Source organism: Homo sapiens, chromosome 7 (genome assembly GCF_000001405.40).
Source record: "Homo sapiens chromosome 7, GRCh38.p14 Primary Assembly".
Classification (NCBI taxonomy): Eukaryota; Metazoa; Chordata; class Mammalia; order Primates; family Hominidae; genus Homo; species Homo sapiens.
The window spans coordinates 101612585-101629637 of NC_000007.14; the positions used below are offsets into that span (position 1 = coordinate 101612585).

At 56.1% G+C, this 17053-nt stretch overlaps 1 protein-coding gene across 2 annotated transcripts, besides 6 other annotated features; it reads right to left on the minus strand.

Moving 5' to 3' along the window:
- Positions 1 to 745: 745 nt before the first annotated feature.
- Positions 746 to 16712, minus strand: MYL10 (myosin light chain 10). 2 transcript variants are annotated; one of them, NM_138403.5, is made up of 8 exons: positions 16457 to 16712; positions 11588 to 11680; positions 11336 to 11437; positions 10413 to 10488; positions 9512 to 9616; positions 3636 to 3714; positions 1078 to 1126; positions 746 to 989 (listed from the first exon to the last, which is right to left on the minus strand). In NM_138403.5, the coding sequence occupies exons 1-8, from the start codon at positions 16532 to 16534 to the stop codon at positions 891 to 893; spliced, it is 681 nt and encodes a 226-aa protein (NP_612412.2). In that variant the 5' UTR covers positions 16535 to 16712; the 3' UTR covers positions 746 to 890. The 2 variants fall into 2 exon arrangements, with proteins under 2 accessions (NP_612412.2, XP_016868282.1); XM_017012793.2 differs by lacking the exons at positions 11336 to 11437; positions 16457 to 16712 and adding an exon at positions 12042 to 12119.
- Positions 1351 to 2278: an enhancer, noted in NCBI's record as "H3K27ac-H3K4me1 hESC enhancer chr7:101257215-101258142 (GRCh37/hg19 assembly coordinates)". NCBI's record gives its function as "activates a minimal SCP1, AML or CMV promoter by ChIP-STARR-seq in naive H9 embryonic stem cells {active_cell/tissue: H9 hESC(naive)}" and the evidence as "EXISTENCE:reporter gene assay evidence [ECO:0000049][PMID:30033119]".
- Positions 2279 to 3207: an enhancer, noted in NCBI's record as "H3K27ac-H3K4me1 hESC enhancer chr7:101258143-101259071 (GRCh37/hg19 assembly coordinates)". NCBI's record gives its function as "activates a minimal SCP1, AML or CMV promoter by ChIP-STARR-seq in naive H9 embryonic stem cells {active_cell/tissue: H9 hESC(naive)}" and the evidence as "EXISTENCE:reporter gene assay evidence [ECO:0000049][PMID:30033119]".
- Positions 3208 to 4135: an enhancer, noted in NCBI's record as "H3K4me1 hESC enhancer chr7:101259072-101259999 (GRCh37/hg19 assembly coordinates)". NCBI's record gives its function as "activates a minimal SCP1, AML or CMV promoter by ChIP-STARR-seq in naive H9 embryonic stem cells {active_cell/tissue: H9 hESC(naive)}" and the evidence as "EXISTENCE:reporter gene assay evidence [ECO:0000049][PMID:30033119]".
- Positions 6249 to 6788: an enhancer, noted in NCBI's record as "H3K4me1 hESC enhancer chr7:101262113-101262652 (GRCh37/hg19 assembly coordinates)". NCBI's record gives its function as "activates a minimal SCP1, AML or CMV promoter by ChIP-STARR-seq in primed H9 embryonic stem cells {active_cell/tissue: H9 hESC(primed)}" and the evidence as "EXISTENCE:reporter gene assay evidence [ECO:0000049][PMID:30033119]".
- Positions 6789 to 7328: an enhancer, noted in NCBI's record as "H3K4me1 hESC enhancer chr7:101262653-101263192 (GRCh37/hg19 assembly coordinates)". NCBI's record gives its function as "activates a minimal SCP1, AML or CMV promoter by ChIP-STARR-seq in primed H9 embryonic stem cells {active_cell/tissue: H9 hESC(primed)}" and the evidence as "EXISTENCE:reporter gene assay evidence [ECO:0000049][PMID:30033119]".
- Positions 11328 to 12255: an enhancer, noted in NCBI's record as "H3K27ac-H3K4me1 hESC enhancer chr7:101267192-101268119 (GRCh37/hg19 assembly coordinates)". NCBI's record gives its function as "activates a minimal SCP1, AML or CMV promoter by ChIP-STARR-seq in primed H9 embryonic stem cells {active_cell/tissue: H9 hESC(primed)}" and the evidence as "EXISTENCE:reporter gene assay evidence [ECO:0000049][PMID:30033119]".
- Positions 16713 to 17053: the final 341 nt, after the last annotated feature.

Sequence of the window (17053 nt, forward strand, 5' to 3'; positions counted from 1 at the left end):
GACTACAGGCCTGAGCCACTGTGCCCGGCCTCTTTTCAGATCTTTATGGCCATTTGGATATTATTATTGTCGTCTACCTTTTTTGGGGTTATAATCTTTCTATTATAGATATGTAGGATTTTAAAAAAATACATCTTCTGGATATGAGATCTTGTCATGATCTACGTTGCCAGTATCTTTTCTCGTCCGGTGCCTTTTTGCATTCTTAACTGTATCTTTTGGTGAGCAGAAGTTTTTAATTTTGATGAAGTCCAACTTATCCACTTTTATGATCACAGTTATGTGTGTCCCATTTAAGAAATCCTTGCCTACCCCCTAAACATCCCTTGAAGCCACCTCTTCCCTTCTGACGTCTTCACCTCTAGCCAGCTCTTTGCAGCCAGTTTTCTCCCGTGCTTCTCCATTCTCCTCCCACCGATGTCCCCACCCCACTTTTTGCCCCCTCCTCTGCCTTCCTCACTGCAGTCAGCACCATATCCTGCCCAGGGACAGTCCTGGCTCCTCTGAGAGTCCCTGGGACCAGCACAGCCTCTGGCATGCACTAGGTGCTTAATAAAAGCTCCATAAATGAAGGCAATATCCCGTGGCTTAGCAGGGAATCGTTAAAACTGTCAATTAGCTCTAAACACCAGCTCCTCGGGAACATTTGAGCAGAGCCAGAGGAACAAAAAAGGTTTGGAAAAACCAACAAGATAGGAATGTTTCGTTTTCTCCCTCGCTGGAGCATTTACCGCACAAACTCAGACCTCATTAGCATTATTTATTCTTGCTTTGTCCCCAACCGTAGGACAAGGGAAGCCTTTTTCCTGCAGCCTCTGGCTGCAAGAGCTCCCTGTCACACCCCACAACAGTGTTTGCTGCCCCTGAATGTCGGGGAGACTTGTGATCCCCTAATCCTTCTCTTCACCGTGAGTGATGACGTAGCACAGGTTTCTGTAGTCCAGGTTGCCGCACACATCTGGGGGAAATGCTGCAAACATCTGCTTGACCTGAGAAGGAGCAGAGAGTCAGCCTGCACCAGGCCAAGTGGGGGCCAGAGCAGAGAATCCGCCGTGACCCACCAGAATCCCAGTTTACCTCCTCCTCACTGAAGCGGTCTGCCTGGGTCATAAGTTTTTCTTTGATGCTGTTCAAGGGAGAGACACAGTCATGTTCAGGGAACGGGATACCCAGCTTGAACATGCAGATCCCAGGGGTGATGAGGGGCAAGTGGGGGCAGGGGGACATCCTGGACCAGGAGGACATCAACCTGGGGCTGACCCTGCCAGCCCCCCCGATGGCCAAGTAGCTTCTGAACCTCGGTTTTCTCCTCCATGAAGTGGGCTTTCCTCCCAGCATCAGGTAGGGACCAAAAGCAATGACCTGGGGACCCCACCATGAGGGCTACTCTGATTTCCCATCATGCACTATAATCAAGCTCTGGATCATTGAGGGGAGACACCTCAGGTCCCCCACCGCAGAGCCTCTTTTGCCTGATTCTGGACACACTCTTTCCTCCAGCTTGTGACGTTCACTGACACCTGCATAGTGTTTTAGAGACAAGATGCCTGTGCTCTGCCAAGGGTACAGGAAGGCCTGCCCAGGTCCGTGTCCTCCTGGGCCTGCAAGGGCCTGCCCCCTCAAGCTTGGAGGGTCCTGCAGGGTTCTTAAGGGAGCTCAGTGGGCAAAGATGGGATCAGACGGCTGAGTGGGGCCTCGTCCACCCAGAGTGTCCTCTGGCACCGGCTGCGGCAGGCCTCGCTAAGGACCAATGCACATTTTCCATTATTTATGTTTCTGTGGGACAGTCACAGTTTCCAGCTCTCCAAGCCGGGGACTTTTCACAGACTCTGTTTCAACCAGAGCCTCCACCGTGGCCTGTCTGGCCTGCCTGGCCTGCAGCCACAGATCCAGGTCCCATGTCCCAAGGCAGTGCCTTCAGTTCCCAAATTAGGTCCCCAAAGGGTCTTCCCAGCCTTGTCCTTGCACTGGTGAGAGAGAAAGTGGTTGACAGTAGAGGGAGGGCTTGGGGTTACTCCGGGGGTGACTCTGATGCCTCCCCAGGTCCCCAGGATGGAGGTAGGAGCCACAGACCCCGAGGGAGGGGTGAAGGGGAGGACTGTGGACTGCAGCAACCCTCAGCATCCCCTCCCCATCCCAGGGGAGTATGTGACTCATGGTCTTGGAGTTGAGAATGTGTGAGACGGGACAGACCCTCTCCACCTCCACCCCTGCTGCGTCTGCCCTCTCCCTTTGAGATGCGAGAATCTCAAAACCAGCAAAACTAGCCTCAAAATGAAGGCTGGCAGCATTACAGTAATTGATCAGGAAGCCTGGGCCTGGGGAGGAATCTCACCTGCCCCAGGCCACCCTCAGGTCCAGCAAGGTTCTGAAGGGACTGCGTCGGCACAGCTCAGAGGTCAGCCCTGAATCTTGGGTCCTGGGAAGGCTGCCACTCCCCCGCCCACTCCTGCCTGCAATTCTTGGCTCTCTGTTCCCTTGCTGTCACTGGGTGGGGCACCCCTACCCTCATGATGGCAGCCCCGGTGCCTGCCAGACAGCTGCCTGCAGCCACTTCCCCTTCATGCATTCCAAGTGAGCTGGTCACTTTCCCCAATCCTTACTGCCCTCTTGCCCGAGGCGGTGCTGGCTACGATCTGGCTCAGTCCTCTCCCCAGACCCTGGATCCTATGGGCACTGGCCCCTGGCTCTTTGCTTATCTGTCCGCCCGACTCCATCTCGACGGCCATGACCCTCCTGGGAGCTGCAACCCTCTCCTCTCCTTCTCCAGGCTGGCCTCCATGGTGTCCTTGCCTAACTCCTCCTCAGGTTCTCCCATGCTCCCAGGGCAGACGCAGGGTCCAGGGGCTAGGGTGTGAGCGCTCCCCCAGAGGCCCCGCCTGCCGCTCTGTGCTCAGTCTCCCCTACACCACCTCCACCCGCACCCTCCAGCTGCAGCCAACTCTGAACAAACATGCACATGCCAAGCCCTGGCCCTCCAAGCTCTCTGTTCCCTCATCTAGAATGCTGTTCCCCCCCTAGCCTGGGCAACCTGCAGTCATTCTTCAAGATCTGCCTTTGCCCCCACACCCACCCCACTAGGAAGCTCTCCTGGAGTGACCCACCACTTCTTCTTTTTTTTTTTTTTTTTGAGACAGTCTCACTCTGTCGCCCAGTCTGGAGTGCAATGGCGTGATCTCGGCTCACTGCAACCTCCACTTCCTGGGTTCGAGCGATTCTCCTGCCTCAGCCACCAGAGTAGCTGGGACTACAGGCATGCACCACCATGCCTGGCTAATTTTTTTTATTATTTTCAGTAGAGATGGGGTTTTGCTGTGTTGGCCAGGGTGGTCTCAAACTCCTGGTCTCAAGTGATCTGCCCACCTCGGCTTCCCAAAGTGCTGAGATTACAGGCGTGAGCCACCGCGCCCAGCCTGACCCACCATTTCTTATCCATTTCTACTTCCACGCACACATAGAGAAGGGGACACCAAGGCCCAGAGAGGGGAAGGGACATCAAGCGATATCACTGGGCTGGGCAGCGGCCCCCCAGCTCCTGGCTTCTGGGAGAGGAGACTGGGCGACCATCCACCCTGACCCCAGCCCAAAGCTGGCTTATTCCCCTGAGCATTTTGGGGGAGTCAGGGGAAACTTACACATCGGCCTTGACGAAACCTTTCCCTTCAGTGTCGAACACTTTGAAGGCGTGGAGAATGGTCTCCTCTGGGTCCGTGCCTATAAGCAGCACATACAGGGCAGGGAGAGAGGCAGGTGAAGAGGGCCCCACAGGGACAGGCACAAGGCTGGGCAGGGGCTGGGGCTGGGGGCAAGTCCCACGGCCCCTGCACAGAGGCACAGCTCTGGGGAACTTCTTCCCCAACTTTCACTGCACAGCGAGGGCCGAGCTCACTTGAAGCAAGAACAAGGAGGGAAACAGGTAATTGTAATCATAGACAAGGGTACCACATATATATATTTTGTGAACAACCTGAGCAACTGTACACGGAGACCCTGATTGAGCATTTAATTTGTGCTTAGCCCTTCCCTATTTTACAGATGGAAAAGCTGAGACCCAGAGAAGTTAAGTGACTTGCCCAGGGTCTCACAGCTGCATGACCAGTGGTCTGGGTGAGGGGGCATGACTCTGGGGCTCACGTGTTACCCAAGCTGTGCACAAGAGGCCGTGGGTGGAGGAAAAAGAGTTCTGTACGTGGATGCCAAAAGGCTGGGGCTTGGGCAGTGTGGCATTGGAGGGGTCTGAGAGAGATTGTCCCGGCCAGAAGTGGGGCAGGTGGGCCAACAGGCCAAGGGAAGGGATTCACGGGGGCAGAAGTGAAGCCAGAGAAGTTCTGCTTTTATCCCGGTCACAGCACAGCCTTGGGGAGAGATGTCATTAGAAGAAATTAATCTGATACCCACAATGGGATTGAATGTGCAGCCCCCACATTGCACCAATGGGAAACTGAAGCCCAGAGAGAGGAAGGGTCTTGCCCAAGGCTTCACGGGCTGCGTGAATGACAGCAGGTGACCTGGCCACCCTCGCCCGGTGCCCTTTCCCCTTCTGTCACCATGTCCCCCTTGTTCACTGTGGATGCGGGGGTGCCCCCTTCCTTTCTTCAGTGCTCAAATGTGTCATTGGTGAAAGGGGACAGAGATGGTGCTTGCTACCCACCTCACAGGAGCAGCTAAGATAACATACCATTCATGGTAAGGTTTTAACGAACATGGGTTGATCAGGGCTGCAAATACATCTGAGCGCTCTATGCCTGCAGCTTTAAGATTTTATCCCCTGGAGCTCTGAGAGCACCCATGGAGTAGATGTGGATATCTTGGTTTATCATAGAAAAAACAGGCTCAGAGATGTTTCATTACTTGCCCAAGTCCCCACTGATAAGAGAAGGGAGGATTTAAACCCACCTCTGTGGACTCCAGAGTCCCCTGCTCCTTTTGTCACCCTGTGCTCTTGCCAGTCAGATTAGGTCAGCCAGGGCCATGTGCCTCCCTCATCAGACTAGGTCAGGGCCATTTGTTCCTCCACCATCATACTAAGTCAGGACCATCTGTGCCTCCCCCATTAGAGTGGGTCATCGCCATCTGTTCCTCCTGCATCAGACTGGGTCAGGGCCATCTGTGCTTCCTCCATCAGATTAGATCAGGGCCTCATCTGTGCCTCCCCCATCAGACTGGGTCAGGGTCATCTGTGCCTCTCCCATCAAACTGGATCAGGGCCATCTGTGTCTCCCCGATCAGACTGGGTCAGGGCCATCTGTGCCTCTTCCATCAGACTGGATCAGGGCCTTCTGTGCCTCTTCCATCAGACTGGGTCAGAGCCAAGTGTGCTTCCCCCCTCAGATTAGATCAGGGCCTCATCTGTTCCTCCCCCATTAGACTGGGTCAGGGCCATCTGTTCCTCCCCCATCACACCAGATCAAGGTCATCTGTGCCTCTCCCATCAGACTGGGTCAGGGCCATCTGTGCCTCCCCCATCGGACTAGGAACTAGCCAGGACTGGGCAGTGTCTGAGTCTCTGGGCATCTCTGAAACTGGCACAGAGTGAAAAAACCTGGCACACACTGGCCTTGCTGGCCTGGGAACTCCTAGAGGGCAGCGCCATGGACTGCCTCTGGGCAGGGTGGCAGGGAGCTGGTGTGCCCAGCAGAGAGGCTCAGCCCAGGGTGCAGCGAGGGCAGGGCTCCAGGCCCTCACAGCCTGGCCAAGCAGGCAGGGGGTAGCAGGTGCCTCTAGGCGGGTGAGGGTTGAGTGACCAGAGCATCACGTGGGGCACCCATGTGGGATTTGCCTCCGAGGCCACAGCCTCCCAGGTTTCACTGATTAGTTGAAAATTCCCAACGTCTTTGAAGAGGCCTCACTGCTGAGGCAGGTTTGTGGCCGGCTCCAGCCTATCCCCCTGCGGACAATGCACATGGATTTAGGCACCCAGCGCAGCCCTGCCACTCCCTGTTACCGTGGCTGGCAGTCCTCCCTTCTCTCCTCCCCAGAAAGAGCCTCTGTTCTTGAGACTGCAAACCTCATAAAATCTGCTATAGAGTGGCCACTTCCTCCCATCATCGTTGGGAATCTCATGACACAGTCTCCTCTTCCCAATTAGCGGGGTGAGGCGGCGCCGGCCCCAGCACCCTGCCCTCCCGGCTCCTGTCCCCTCCCACCAGCCTCTCACGCAGTCTGGCCACGTCTGCATGACAGGCTCAGCCGGAGCCCCAGTCCCGGCGCCCCTGCAAAAATGAGAAAAAGCTGCAGCCCTGCAGCCCACACCAGGCCCTGGATCACAGCTTCAGCTCAACCATGGACCGACACGAGCTTTTAGTCTCAATCTTCCCATCTGCGAAACAGGTTTGGGGCCCACTGTGAGCTGACAGAGTCCCCTCCCCTTCCCCTGAGCACTCTTGGAGGTCTCTCTAAACTCCTGCTCTGGCAGCAGGGCCCCTCGCCCATGCCCAACACCAGGGGCGGGAGGTGCTCACAGCCTCACCTCCTGGGCCCGGCCCTGGGCCGTCCACCCTGGCAGAACCACAGGCCACTTCCCCAGGCCCTCCCACTGGCCTTTAACACGCCTCCTTCAGTTATGTGCCTGTGGATAAAAGAATCAGGCCTGTCTGCTTCCTTTGAAGTTGCTGGCTGGAGTCACACATGTCTTTTCCACAGAGCATTCTTCTCTCCCGGCCTCCTGGGCTTCTGAGCTCTTCCAGGAGGCGCACATGGTCCTGGGAATAGGCCCCGACAAGCTGCCTGGAGGTGGGCCCAGTGATGCTCCTGATTCGGCTACACAGCCCCAAGTTCAAAGCCTGCTCCAGATGAGCCTGCCCTCCCCAGCCCTGGGTTTCCTCATCTCTCGCACCCAGGCTGATGGCTGCCTTCCTTCTGGCTCTGGATCTGCCAGGACACGGTGCGTGGAGGCTGCTCTACCCCACAGCAGGTCACGACCCATGACAGTACTGATTTTTCACCCCATCAAACCTGTGATGTCAGGTCGGATCACCCTGTGGTGGACTGAATGGTGGCCCCTAAAAAGAGACGTCCACCAGAGGCCGGGCACGGTGGCTTACGCCTGTAATCCCAGCACTTTGGGAGGCCGAGGAAGGCGGATCACGAGGTCAGGAGATCGAGACCATCCTGGCTAACACAGTGAAACCCCATCTCCACTAAAAATACAAAAAAATTAGACGAGCGTGGTGGCAGGCACCTGTAGCCCCAGTTACTTGGGAACCTAAGGCAGGAGAATGGCGTGAACCCGGGAGGCATAGCTTGCAGTAAGCCAAGATCACACCACTGCACTCCAGCCTGGGTGACAGAGCAAGACTCCGTCTCAAAAAAAAAAAAAAAAAAGATATGTCCACCAGAGCCTGCAAATGTCACCTTATTTGGAAAAAAGGACTTTGCAGATGTAAGTTAAGCATCTTGAGATGCAGAGATCATCTTAGATTATCCCAGTAGGACCTGAATCCAACGGCAGGTAGAGTCCAGGCGCGAGGGCTCATGCCTATAATCCCAGCAGTTTGGGAGGCGGATATGGGCGGATCACTTGAGGTCAGGAGTTCGAGACCAGCCTGGCCAATGTAGTGAAACGGTATCTCTACTAAAAATACAAAAAAATTTAGCGGGGCATGGTGGCGGGTGCCTGTAATCCCAGCTTCTTGGGAGGCTGAAGCGTGAGAATCGCTTGAACCTTGGAGGCGGAGGTTGTCCTAAGCTGAGATGGCGCCATTATACTCCAGCCTGGGCAACAGAGTGAGACTCCATCTCAAAAACAAAACAAAATAAACAAAGAGGCAGGTGGAGGGAGGTTAAATAGAAGAGGGCGGGGCCATTGACGGCGAGGCTGAGATGGGAGAGGTAGAGCCACCAGAGGCTGGGAGAGACAACGGATTCTCCCCAAATCCTCTGCCAGATTTCGCACTTCTGGGCTTCAGGACTGTGAGAGAATACATGTCTGTTGTTTTGAGCCACCTGGTTTCACAGAATTTGTTACAGCGGGCTCAGAAAACTATTATAAGCCCATTTTACAGACCAAAAAACTGAGGCCAGAAAGCAGATAAATCTGTGCAAGGTCAACCTAGGAGTCAATGGGAAGCCAGGGTCTGACCCTAGGCCTAGCCAAGGCAGGGGGTTCAAGGGAGGGGGCCTGGCAGGGGCAGCCTGAGGGTGCAGAGCTGACAGTGCTCACTTCCCAGGGACCACTGCCTGGGCTGACCCTTCCTTTTTTTTTTTTTTTTCTTTTTTTTTTTGTAGTGGAGTCTGTCTCTGTCACCCAGGCTGGAGTGCAATGGCACCATCTCGGCTCACGGCAACCTCTGCCTCCCAGGTTCAAGCGATTCTCCTGCCTCAGCCTCCCGAGCAGCTGGGATTACGGGCACCCACCACCATGCCCAGCTAATTTTTGTATTTTTAATAGAGACAGTGTTTCGCCATGTTAGTCAGGGTGGTCTTGACCTCCTGACCTCAGGTGATCCACCCACCTCCGCCTCCCAGAGTGCTGGGATTACAGGCATGAGCCACCGTGCCCGGCCTTGGCCCTTCCTTCTGACCACGGAACCCTCAAGCTCCAGGATGTCACTATGGGAGAGCTCCCCCGAGGCCAGGACAGAAAGGAGACACAGATGGCTCCAACCCTCCACCCCATGCCTAATGCTGTGTCTCGGGCGGGTACAGTGGTTAGAGCCAGGGTTTGGGGTTGAGGTTGCATCCCGGCCACTTTTTGCTGGAGCATCTGGGGCAGGGGTCGTGACTCCTCTGGATCTGAGTCTCTTCATTTGTGAATGAGGCTCCCCGATCCTTCCTCTGGGGGCTCCAGTGACCACAGAAAAAGACAAGGGGAGTAACTTGCCCTGCACAGGGGTCGACCACAGCATCTTTTGGAAACACCCTCCCTCCGGCACCCTCTGCCTATACCCCCAGCCCCATGTGCAGAGCGGGTAAAAGGAGCTCACAGGTAGGAAGGTAGGGAGGCAGCATGGCTGGGGGCAGTGGGATGGGTGGGCAAAGGGGTTAAAGGCAGTGTTTAGTTTTTATGGTTGTTGTTGTTGTTGAGACAGGGCCTTGCTCTGTCACCCAGGCTGGAGTGCAGTGGTGCGATCTCGGCTCACTGCAACCTTCACCTCCCAGGCTCAAGTGATCCTCCCACCTCAGCCTCCAAAGTAGCTGGGACTACAGGCATGTGTCACCATGTCTGGCTAATTTTTGTATTAGTAGAGATGAAGTTTCATTATATCACCCAGGCTGGTCTCAAACTCCTGGACTCAAGCAAACCGCCCGCCTCAGTCTCCCTAAGTGCTGGGATTACAGGCGTGAGCCACCATGCCTGGCCAAGGCAGGGGTCTTTATAGTTACCCCAGTCTGCGGTGAAGAGAGGGAAACCGAGGCAGGGCCCCTGAAGGTGCGTGCACCTGGGGGCTGGTGTCTGGGGCCACATCATGCTCCCACCTGTGGTGTGTATGTGTGTCAGGCCCCTGCCTTCCTACATCCGTCCCCCTGCCATTCCCTGCTGCCCCTCCAGGACTCCAGGAGCCTGGCTCACCCTTCAGCTTCTCCCCAAACATGGTCAGGAACACCGTGAAGTTGATGGGTCCGGGGGCCTCCTTCACCATGGCCTCCAGTTCCTCGTTCTTGACATTGATGCGGCCTGTGGGAGGTGAGAGGTGGGGGCAGGGAGGATAAGAGAGATCAGAGCTTGGGCCTCGGAGGATCCCACAAAGCCTCCCCACTCAGCTGCTCCACGTGCCCCCCACTCAGCCCTAAGGCCCTGACGCCTTTTTGGGGGACTCTTTAGGGGGCATTTGGGCCACAGTCAGCTTCCGGCTGCCCCCAGCCTCATGAGAAGGGAGCAAGTCACTCTCATCCCCATTTTACGGTGAAGAAACTGAGGCCCAAGAAGCTGCAGCTGAGGTGCACGGGGGCTGCAGGCTCAGGGTTCCTGTGCCCCAGGAGGGGATCAGTGGATGCCTGGATGCTGGGATTCCCTGTGGTTCCAGGGGACACTCAGATTCCCAGGGGATCAGGGCCTGGTTACGTCCGTTCTGCCACCTAAACCCTGCATAGGCGACTTCAGGCTCTTCCCTGGGGCCTTAGAGGGATCAGAAACCTCAACCTGGGAGTTGGGTCTTTCCCTCTGACTCAGCTTCTCCCCTGCTTTCCTGGCCCCTCCCCACACCCAGGGTCCCCTACACCAGGCCCAGGCCCAGGCCCAGGCCCATGCTGCTACTCCTGTCCCTGAAGTGTTTTCCCCTTCCCTGGCCGAATCCTTCTCCAACCCCCCAGGAAGGTCCCCCCCTGACTTTCCAGACAGTGGCTGCCTTTACCCTGTGCTCCCCAGCACAGGAGCCTCTCACGCTCACCGCGAGCCCTGCCCTGCTGGCCCCAACCGCCCACTCTGTCTGGCTGGCCTGGCCCTAATCTCCCCCGGCTGCTGGCTCACCCACCCAGCGCGGCAAAGGTGTCCCTCAAGTCCTCTTTGTCGATGAAGCCATCACGGTTCTGGTCCATGATGGTGAAAGCCTGGCAGAGACACAGGTGCTAAGTAGTCACCTGCCCTTCCAAGCCCGGCCACCTCCCCCAGGGACCGTCCTCCTGCCGACTGCTGCCCAAGGAGCCTCGGGGCAGGTCCCTCTGGCAGCCCAGCTGGGATGGGCTCCATCCCCAACCCCTCATTTCAGGCTCACAGCAACTCCAGTTTGCAGACAGGGAAACTGAGGCTCAGAGAGAGAAAAGTCTGGCCCGAGGTCACACAGCAAGCACAGGGTCAGGTACAGAGAGACAAAGAGGCTGCCTGAGGGCAACAGGTCACTCACCCAGGCTCTGGGCCATGGCCATGGTGGCCTCAAAAAATAATGTCATTGGCCAGGCTTGGTGGCTCATGCCTGCAGTCCCAGCAATTTGGGAGGCAGAGGCAGGAGGATTGCTTGAGGTCAGGAGTTTGAGACAAGCCTGGGCGAAATAATGAGACCCTGTCTCTACAAAACATTAAAAAATTAGCCAGGCATGGTGATGAATGCCTGTAGTTTCAGCTACTCAGGAGGCTGAGGTGGGAGGATGGCTTGAGCCCAGGAATTTGAGGCTGCAGGGAGCATTGACTGCAACACTGTACTCCAGCCTGGGTAACAGAGCAAGACCCTGTCTCAAAAAAAAAAAAAAAAAAAAAAACCTAATCATTTAAAAATGTAGTAATGGGCGCTGGGCACTGTGGCTCACGTCTGTAATCCCAGCACTTTGGGAGGCCGAGGCGGGTGGATCACCTGAGGTCAGGAGTTCCAGACCAGCCTGGCCAACATGGCAAAACCCCATCTCTACTAAAAATTCAAAAAATTAGCTGGGCATGGTGGTGCGTGCCTGCAATCCCACCTACTTGGGAGGCTGAGGCAGGAGAATTGCTTGAACCCGTGAGGCAGAGGTTGCAGTGAGCCGAGATCATGCCATTGCGCTCCAGCCTGGGCGACAGAGCCAGACTCTGTCAAACAAACAAATAATAATAATAATAATAGTAATAATGACATCTTCAGCCCCTCGAGACTGAGGACTGAGCCTCTGCCCAGCTCCTTGAGCAACTGGCATGCATTCCAAGAATCCTCATAACAGCCCCATGGGGCAGCAGACCAACCTCTTTAAACTCCTGGATCTGGGACTGATCAAACATGGAGAAGACGTTGGAGCTGGCGGTGCCTTCTGCTCTTTTCCGAGCTCTTCTCGGTGCCTGCGAGGTAGCAGACAAGGCCTTGCAGCGGCCCCTGCCTCGAGGGTCAGCCCCCACCCCCTGTCTCACCTCCCAGGGCATCACGGTCCAGAATGACACCGCTTTGCCCTTCCCGGTGCCTACAGCAGACAGACAAGGCTACCCCTGAAGCCTTGCAGGTAATCAGGACGTTTTCCCAGCCCATGGCAAGAAGCCTGCACGGCGTGCACCCCCACAGAGCTGGACAGCTGCTTCCTGGCCCTGTCCCCCGGGCTCCGGAAGGTGGGCAGCCGGTGCCCGTGCTGCAGAACAGAGGCGGGCATCTCTTCCTTCAGCCTCCCCATCTCTACCCCGGCATCCTCCACTACAGCTGGAATCTGACCTTATCGCCAGCTGCTAAAAACCTTCTTCGTGTTCTCAGGAGAACAACTGCGCTCTTAGCCCCACCACAGGATCTGCCTCTTGCCCTGTCCCAGAGCTGCTACTCCCTCTCACCCAGGCCCTCTACTCTGTCCCAGAGCTGCCTTCCCTCCCAGCGTTTGCCCCTGCCTGGAATGCGTTGCTCTGTTGGAATTCCCTGCTTGGAATGCCTTCCCTGGAGAATCTATCTAGAGACTCCTACCCATCCTGCAGGCTCAGCTCCCTGTCACCTCCTCCGAGAAGCCTTCCCTGACCCCAGGCCACTCTCCCCTCCCCACATGGCTCCACTGTGGACTGTCACCCCTACAGCATGTATCACACTGTCCTGACATATCTGTGCGTCTGTGTCCTCGACTAAGTGGACATCTCAGGGGTAAAACCCACTTTGCCCCATCTCTGATCTCTCCTATCCCCACCCTGAACCTGGCTCAAAGTGGGGATCAGCCAGTGCTTGGAAATAGCTGCCCAGAACTCAGGGCCAACCCACGCAGCAGGCAAAGCAGGAGGCCACCCACGTTGAGTAGTCAGATGGTTTCTGGCCAGCCTTCCTGCCTCTGTGATGTCAGGGTGTCTGGAAGTCCACCATTGGGCATTTGCTGAAAGCCCTAGGTCCCCAAGACCCTCAAGAGTCCTGTTCCTGGGCAGCCATCCTTACAGCCCCCAGGGGCGCTGTGAGCCCCAGAATGGGCTCTCGATGGGGGAAAAGAATTGCTGGATTCCAGACGGGGAGGTGGACGGGATGGCACAGAAATGGGTTCCCACCACCAGCTCCTGTCTCCGTCACAACTTGTACCACCCTCTCCTGCCAAGCCCTTGTCTACCTGCCCCCACCAGAGCAGAGGAGTCCCCTCATCCCCTGCTCCCCTCCCCCAACGCCTGTGTGGTCTCCCCTGCCCCCAGCTCACTGCTGTCCCCACCCCCGCCCAGGAGCCCGCGTCGTCGAGGGCAGGGGCAGAAGCGCCGGCTGACTTATAATTAGCTTTTACTGGGTGCTCTGTCTCTCCTAATCCTTTGAAAGGGGGCTGCCAGGGCGGCCGGGACGTTATGATGCTGTAAAACCTCTGTAATATTTATAAATCCTTTCAGACATCATAAAGAAAAGAACTTCCCCACAGAGTTCATCCCACATAATTACATATACATTTCCTCCGATTAATAAAAAATGATCACTTCCGTCTGTGGGAGGTTCTGCCCTTTCTCTGGCACACCTGGCTGTGGCCTCGGCGTCCTCAGTCCCTGCCCCCCACGCCCCCAGCCTCTCATGATCCCCCTGGTTACACCCCCACCCTACACTGTCCCAGAGCTCCACGAGGGAGGGAGAGATCATTTTCTTTACAGCACAAGAGTCCTAAACCCTAGGGTCTTTGCAGCCCAGCTGTCTTGAAAATTCCTTTTGAGAATGGGCCCCTGAAAAATAAAATTCCCCTGAAAGGAACATCTCAGGGAAGAAGGGGGGGTCACCCGGATCTGGGTTCAAAGCCTGGCTTGGCTGCTCCCAGCCTCCGTGATGTTAAGAAATTCACTTGTCTTCTCTGAGCCTGTTTCCCCATTTATAAAACCTAGAGCAGGTCAACCTCAAAGCATCAGGACATGTATTAGACACCTACGGACCTCCAGGCAGGTCCGTCCTGGGGACCCAGGGCTGAATCAGGCCCCGTCTTGGTCCCCAAGAAGATCACAGTCCCGCTGGTGACAGGCAGTCCATAGAGGCTGACTCGGAGGAGGGACAAGCGCTGAGAAGACAAGACAGAGAAGCCCCTAGGCCCTCGGGCAGTCAGGAGGTGACAAGCCGAGGCTGACAGCCAAGTCAGAGCTCTGTGCCGAGAGGGACTAACTAATGAGGCAGGTGAGACACAGGCACAGAGGGACAGCCAGATTGATACCCCGCAGGGAGTCCCCAGGGGCAGGAACCCAGAGCAAGCCCTGCGTCACATGAGGTGCACAGGCAAAGGTGAACAGGGGGACCTCGGAGCTCCAGAGGTGCCACGCTGCCCCAAATACTGACCCCCGGCCCTCCCAGGGGGCCCCTGCCCTCAGAGCCACTGCCCCTGTGAAGCCCCCAGGCCCTGCCCACCTCGTCTCTCTCCACCCTCCTCTTCCTCATTCCCCAGCAGTCCCCACAAAGTCCAGGAAAGCAGAGGCTCAAATCAGGACCCACGTGGAGAGGAGTCCCGAGTGGGGCAGGTCCAAGCATGGGATCAAGAGCAAAGAGCAGGTCAGACCAGGGACAACATCAGATTAAGGTCAGGAAGGTCAGTGAGAGGCAGGATGAATTCAGGCAGGAGGTGAAGGTCAGAATCACACACAGAGTCAAGGTCACAGAACAAGGTCAAAGTTGAGAAATGAGGCCGGGCGCTGTGGCTCACGCCTGTAATCCCAGCACTCTGGGAGGCCGAAGCGGGTGAATCACTTGAGGTCAGGAGTTCGAGACCAACCTGGACAACATGGTGAAACCCCGTCTCTACCAAAAATACAAAAAAAAAAAAATAGCCATGTGTGGTGGCGGGCGCCTGTAATCCCAGTTACTCGGGAGGCTGAGACAGGAACCTCACTCGAAGCCAGGAGGTGGAGGTTGCAGTGAGCCGAGATCGAGCCACCGCACTCCAACCTGGGCAACAGAGTGAGATTCTGTCTAAAAAAGAAAAGGAATTGCGGAGTGAGGTCAGGGGCAGGGGCAGGGGCAGGGGCAGGGGTGGGAGGGAGGGGACCGCAGTGCTGAAGCCAAAGACACAACAGCCACAGGCCTGAGCTCCCCAGGGAGGAGGTGGAGGTGAGAGGAAGGTAGCCGTGGCAGAGCAGAACAACCCCAGCCTACCATGGTCTGGAGAGCTCCCTGAAGCTGCAGTTGGCCTGGGGATAGCTCAGAGATGGCCCTTAAATAGTGGTCCTCCCAGGGCCCCTGGCATGCACCGGGCCCAGTGTGGAAGGTGATCCATGACAGGACGGAGACCTCCCTGCCAGGCACCTGCCTTGGGCCATTCAGAGTGGATAGGGTTGGGGGGAATCCGTGGGCAAATACCACGGACGCAGGGACTGCCTAAGCCTCCAGGATCTCCGAGAGCCCTGGGCCAACTGTTTTCTCTAGAGCCAAGGGACCAAGACCCAGGAAGGGGCATTTGGCCAAGGACACAGAGTAAGTTGAGGCTGCCTACCCCAATGGGAAGACTTGGCCTTGAGCCGTCAGGGAGTGTTGCCCAGGGTGGGGCCACCCATGCTGGCTGGGACCCACTCAGACTGCAGTGTGGCCGGACCTCTGGAGCTGTGGGACTCTGGGTGGGACATCACCCTCTAGGAGGCTCAGCCATCTCATAGGAATAGGGGGGAGTGTATGAAACCCCCGGTCTGCTTATGGAGAGAGTTTCTGCACCAACCTGGCCCTCGGGGGCCCCTTCTACCAATATGCCTATTATCAGGGTGTCCATTAAGCACCCCCAGGCCAGGGGACCCCCTCAGGGCACTGAAATGCTCAATGAACAGAGAAAGCAACAGGACAAATAAAAGAAAAATGGGGTGGGCGCAGTGGCTCACGCCTGTAATCCCAGAGCTTTCGGAGGCCAAGAGGGAAGGATCGCTTCAGGCCAGGAGTTCAAGACCAGCCTGGGCAACATAGTGAGACCCCTATCTCTACAAAATATCAAAAAAATTAGCCGAGCATGGTGGTGTGCTCTTGTAGTCCCACCTACTCAGGAGGCTGAGGCAGGAGGATTGCTTGAGTCCAGGAGTTTGAGGCTGCAGTGATCTATGATTGTGCCACTGCACTCCAGCCTGGGCGACAGAGTGAGATATTGTCTCTTAAAAAAAAGAAAACAGAAAACTGGAGGTGACTCTGATGAGGAAGAACTGAAAAATGAGACCTCCATTCCACCCTGGCCTCACACACACACATCCATCCCCACCAGGCCTGGCCCAGCCCAAGAATTCTCTAGTAGATCTGCCAAACAGAGCCCACACCTGCCCTGGAAAGCCCCTCCTGTGTCTAGTGCAGCCCCAGCAGCCCCAGCTCGGCCTCAGAGGCTGCCACTGTCCATCTGGGGCCCGCCATATCTGAACAGCTGCCAGGGCCGGCAGTGCTGGGTTCAGGCAGTGAGCCCACGGGTCCCCAGGGGCTGGAGAGCTTAACTGTCCCTGGAGCTGGCCTCAGGCCTTCAGCCCCGGGTACAGCTGATCCCCTGCCTTTGGGGAAGGGAATATCATAATAATAATAAGAAGAGCAGCTAATATACAACACAGAAGGTCAGGCCATGTCTTAAAACACGTGTCCTCACATTCAATCCATATCCCATTTTCCAGATGAGGAAACTGAGGCACGCATGGGTTAAGTCACTCACCCAAGGCAGATAAGAAGTGGGGCCAGAGGCCAGGCACAGTGGCTCATACCTGTAATCCCAGCACTTTGGGAGGCCGAGGAGGGAGGATCACTTGAGGCCAGGAGTTTGAGACCAGCCTAAGCAACATGGTGAAACTCTGTTTCTACAAAAAAATTTTTTTTAATTAAAAAATTAGTCAGGCATAGTGGTGAAGTGAAAAAGTTCCCTTATCCCGTTCATAGGGCATGCGATGGGGGTGTGGCTCGCTTCTTCCATGCCCAGCTGCTCAAACCTCTAGGCGGACCATGCAGACAGGCAGGCTATGGGGCTCCGACCCCACGGCAGTGTCTAGGGGTGGATGCTTACAGCTCCTGAAGCCCCAGTGGGCGTGTGTTACAGGATGCTCTTTTACTTTTGCCATCTGTAGGTGGCTTGTGTTCATCAGCTCAGTTAGACCCTCTGCCTTATTGCAAGGACAAAGGGCTTTTTGTATCCTGGGGTTCTTGCCTTGGTGTACTGTGAAAATTGAATCACATGTGGGCTTGGAGAATGAGTGCGAGGTTTTATTGAGTGGTGGAAGTAGCTCTCAGCAGATGATGGGGAGCCAGAAGGGGGATGGAGTGGGAAGGTGATTTTTCCCCTGAAGTCAAGGTGCTCAGCAGCCAGA

Excerpts from the sequence above, each read along its gene's own strand:
- MYL10 (NM_138403.5), bottom strand. The coding sequence starts at position 16,534 with ATGTTGCTTAGGCTGGTCTCAAACTCCTGGCCTCAAGTGATCCTCCCT. Across the intron at positions 10,489-11,335 it reads CTCCTGCCTCAGCCTCCCAA|GCTTTCACCATCATGGACCA; the intron begins GTAGGTGGGATT and ends TGTCTCTGCCAG. Across the intron at positions 1,127-3,635 it reads GGTTTCGTCAAGGCCGATGT|CATCAAAGAAAAACTTATGA; the intron begins GTAAGTTTCCCC and ends TCCCTTGAACAG.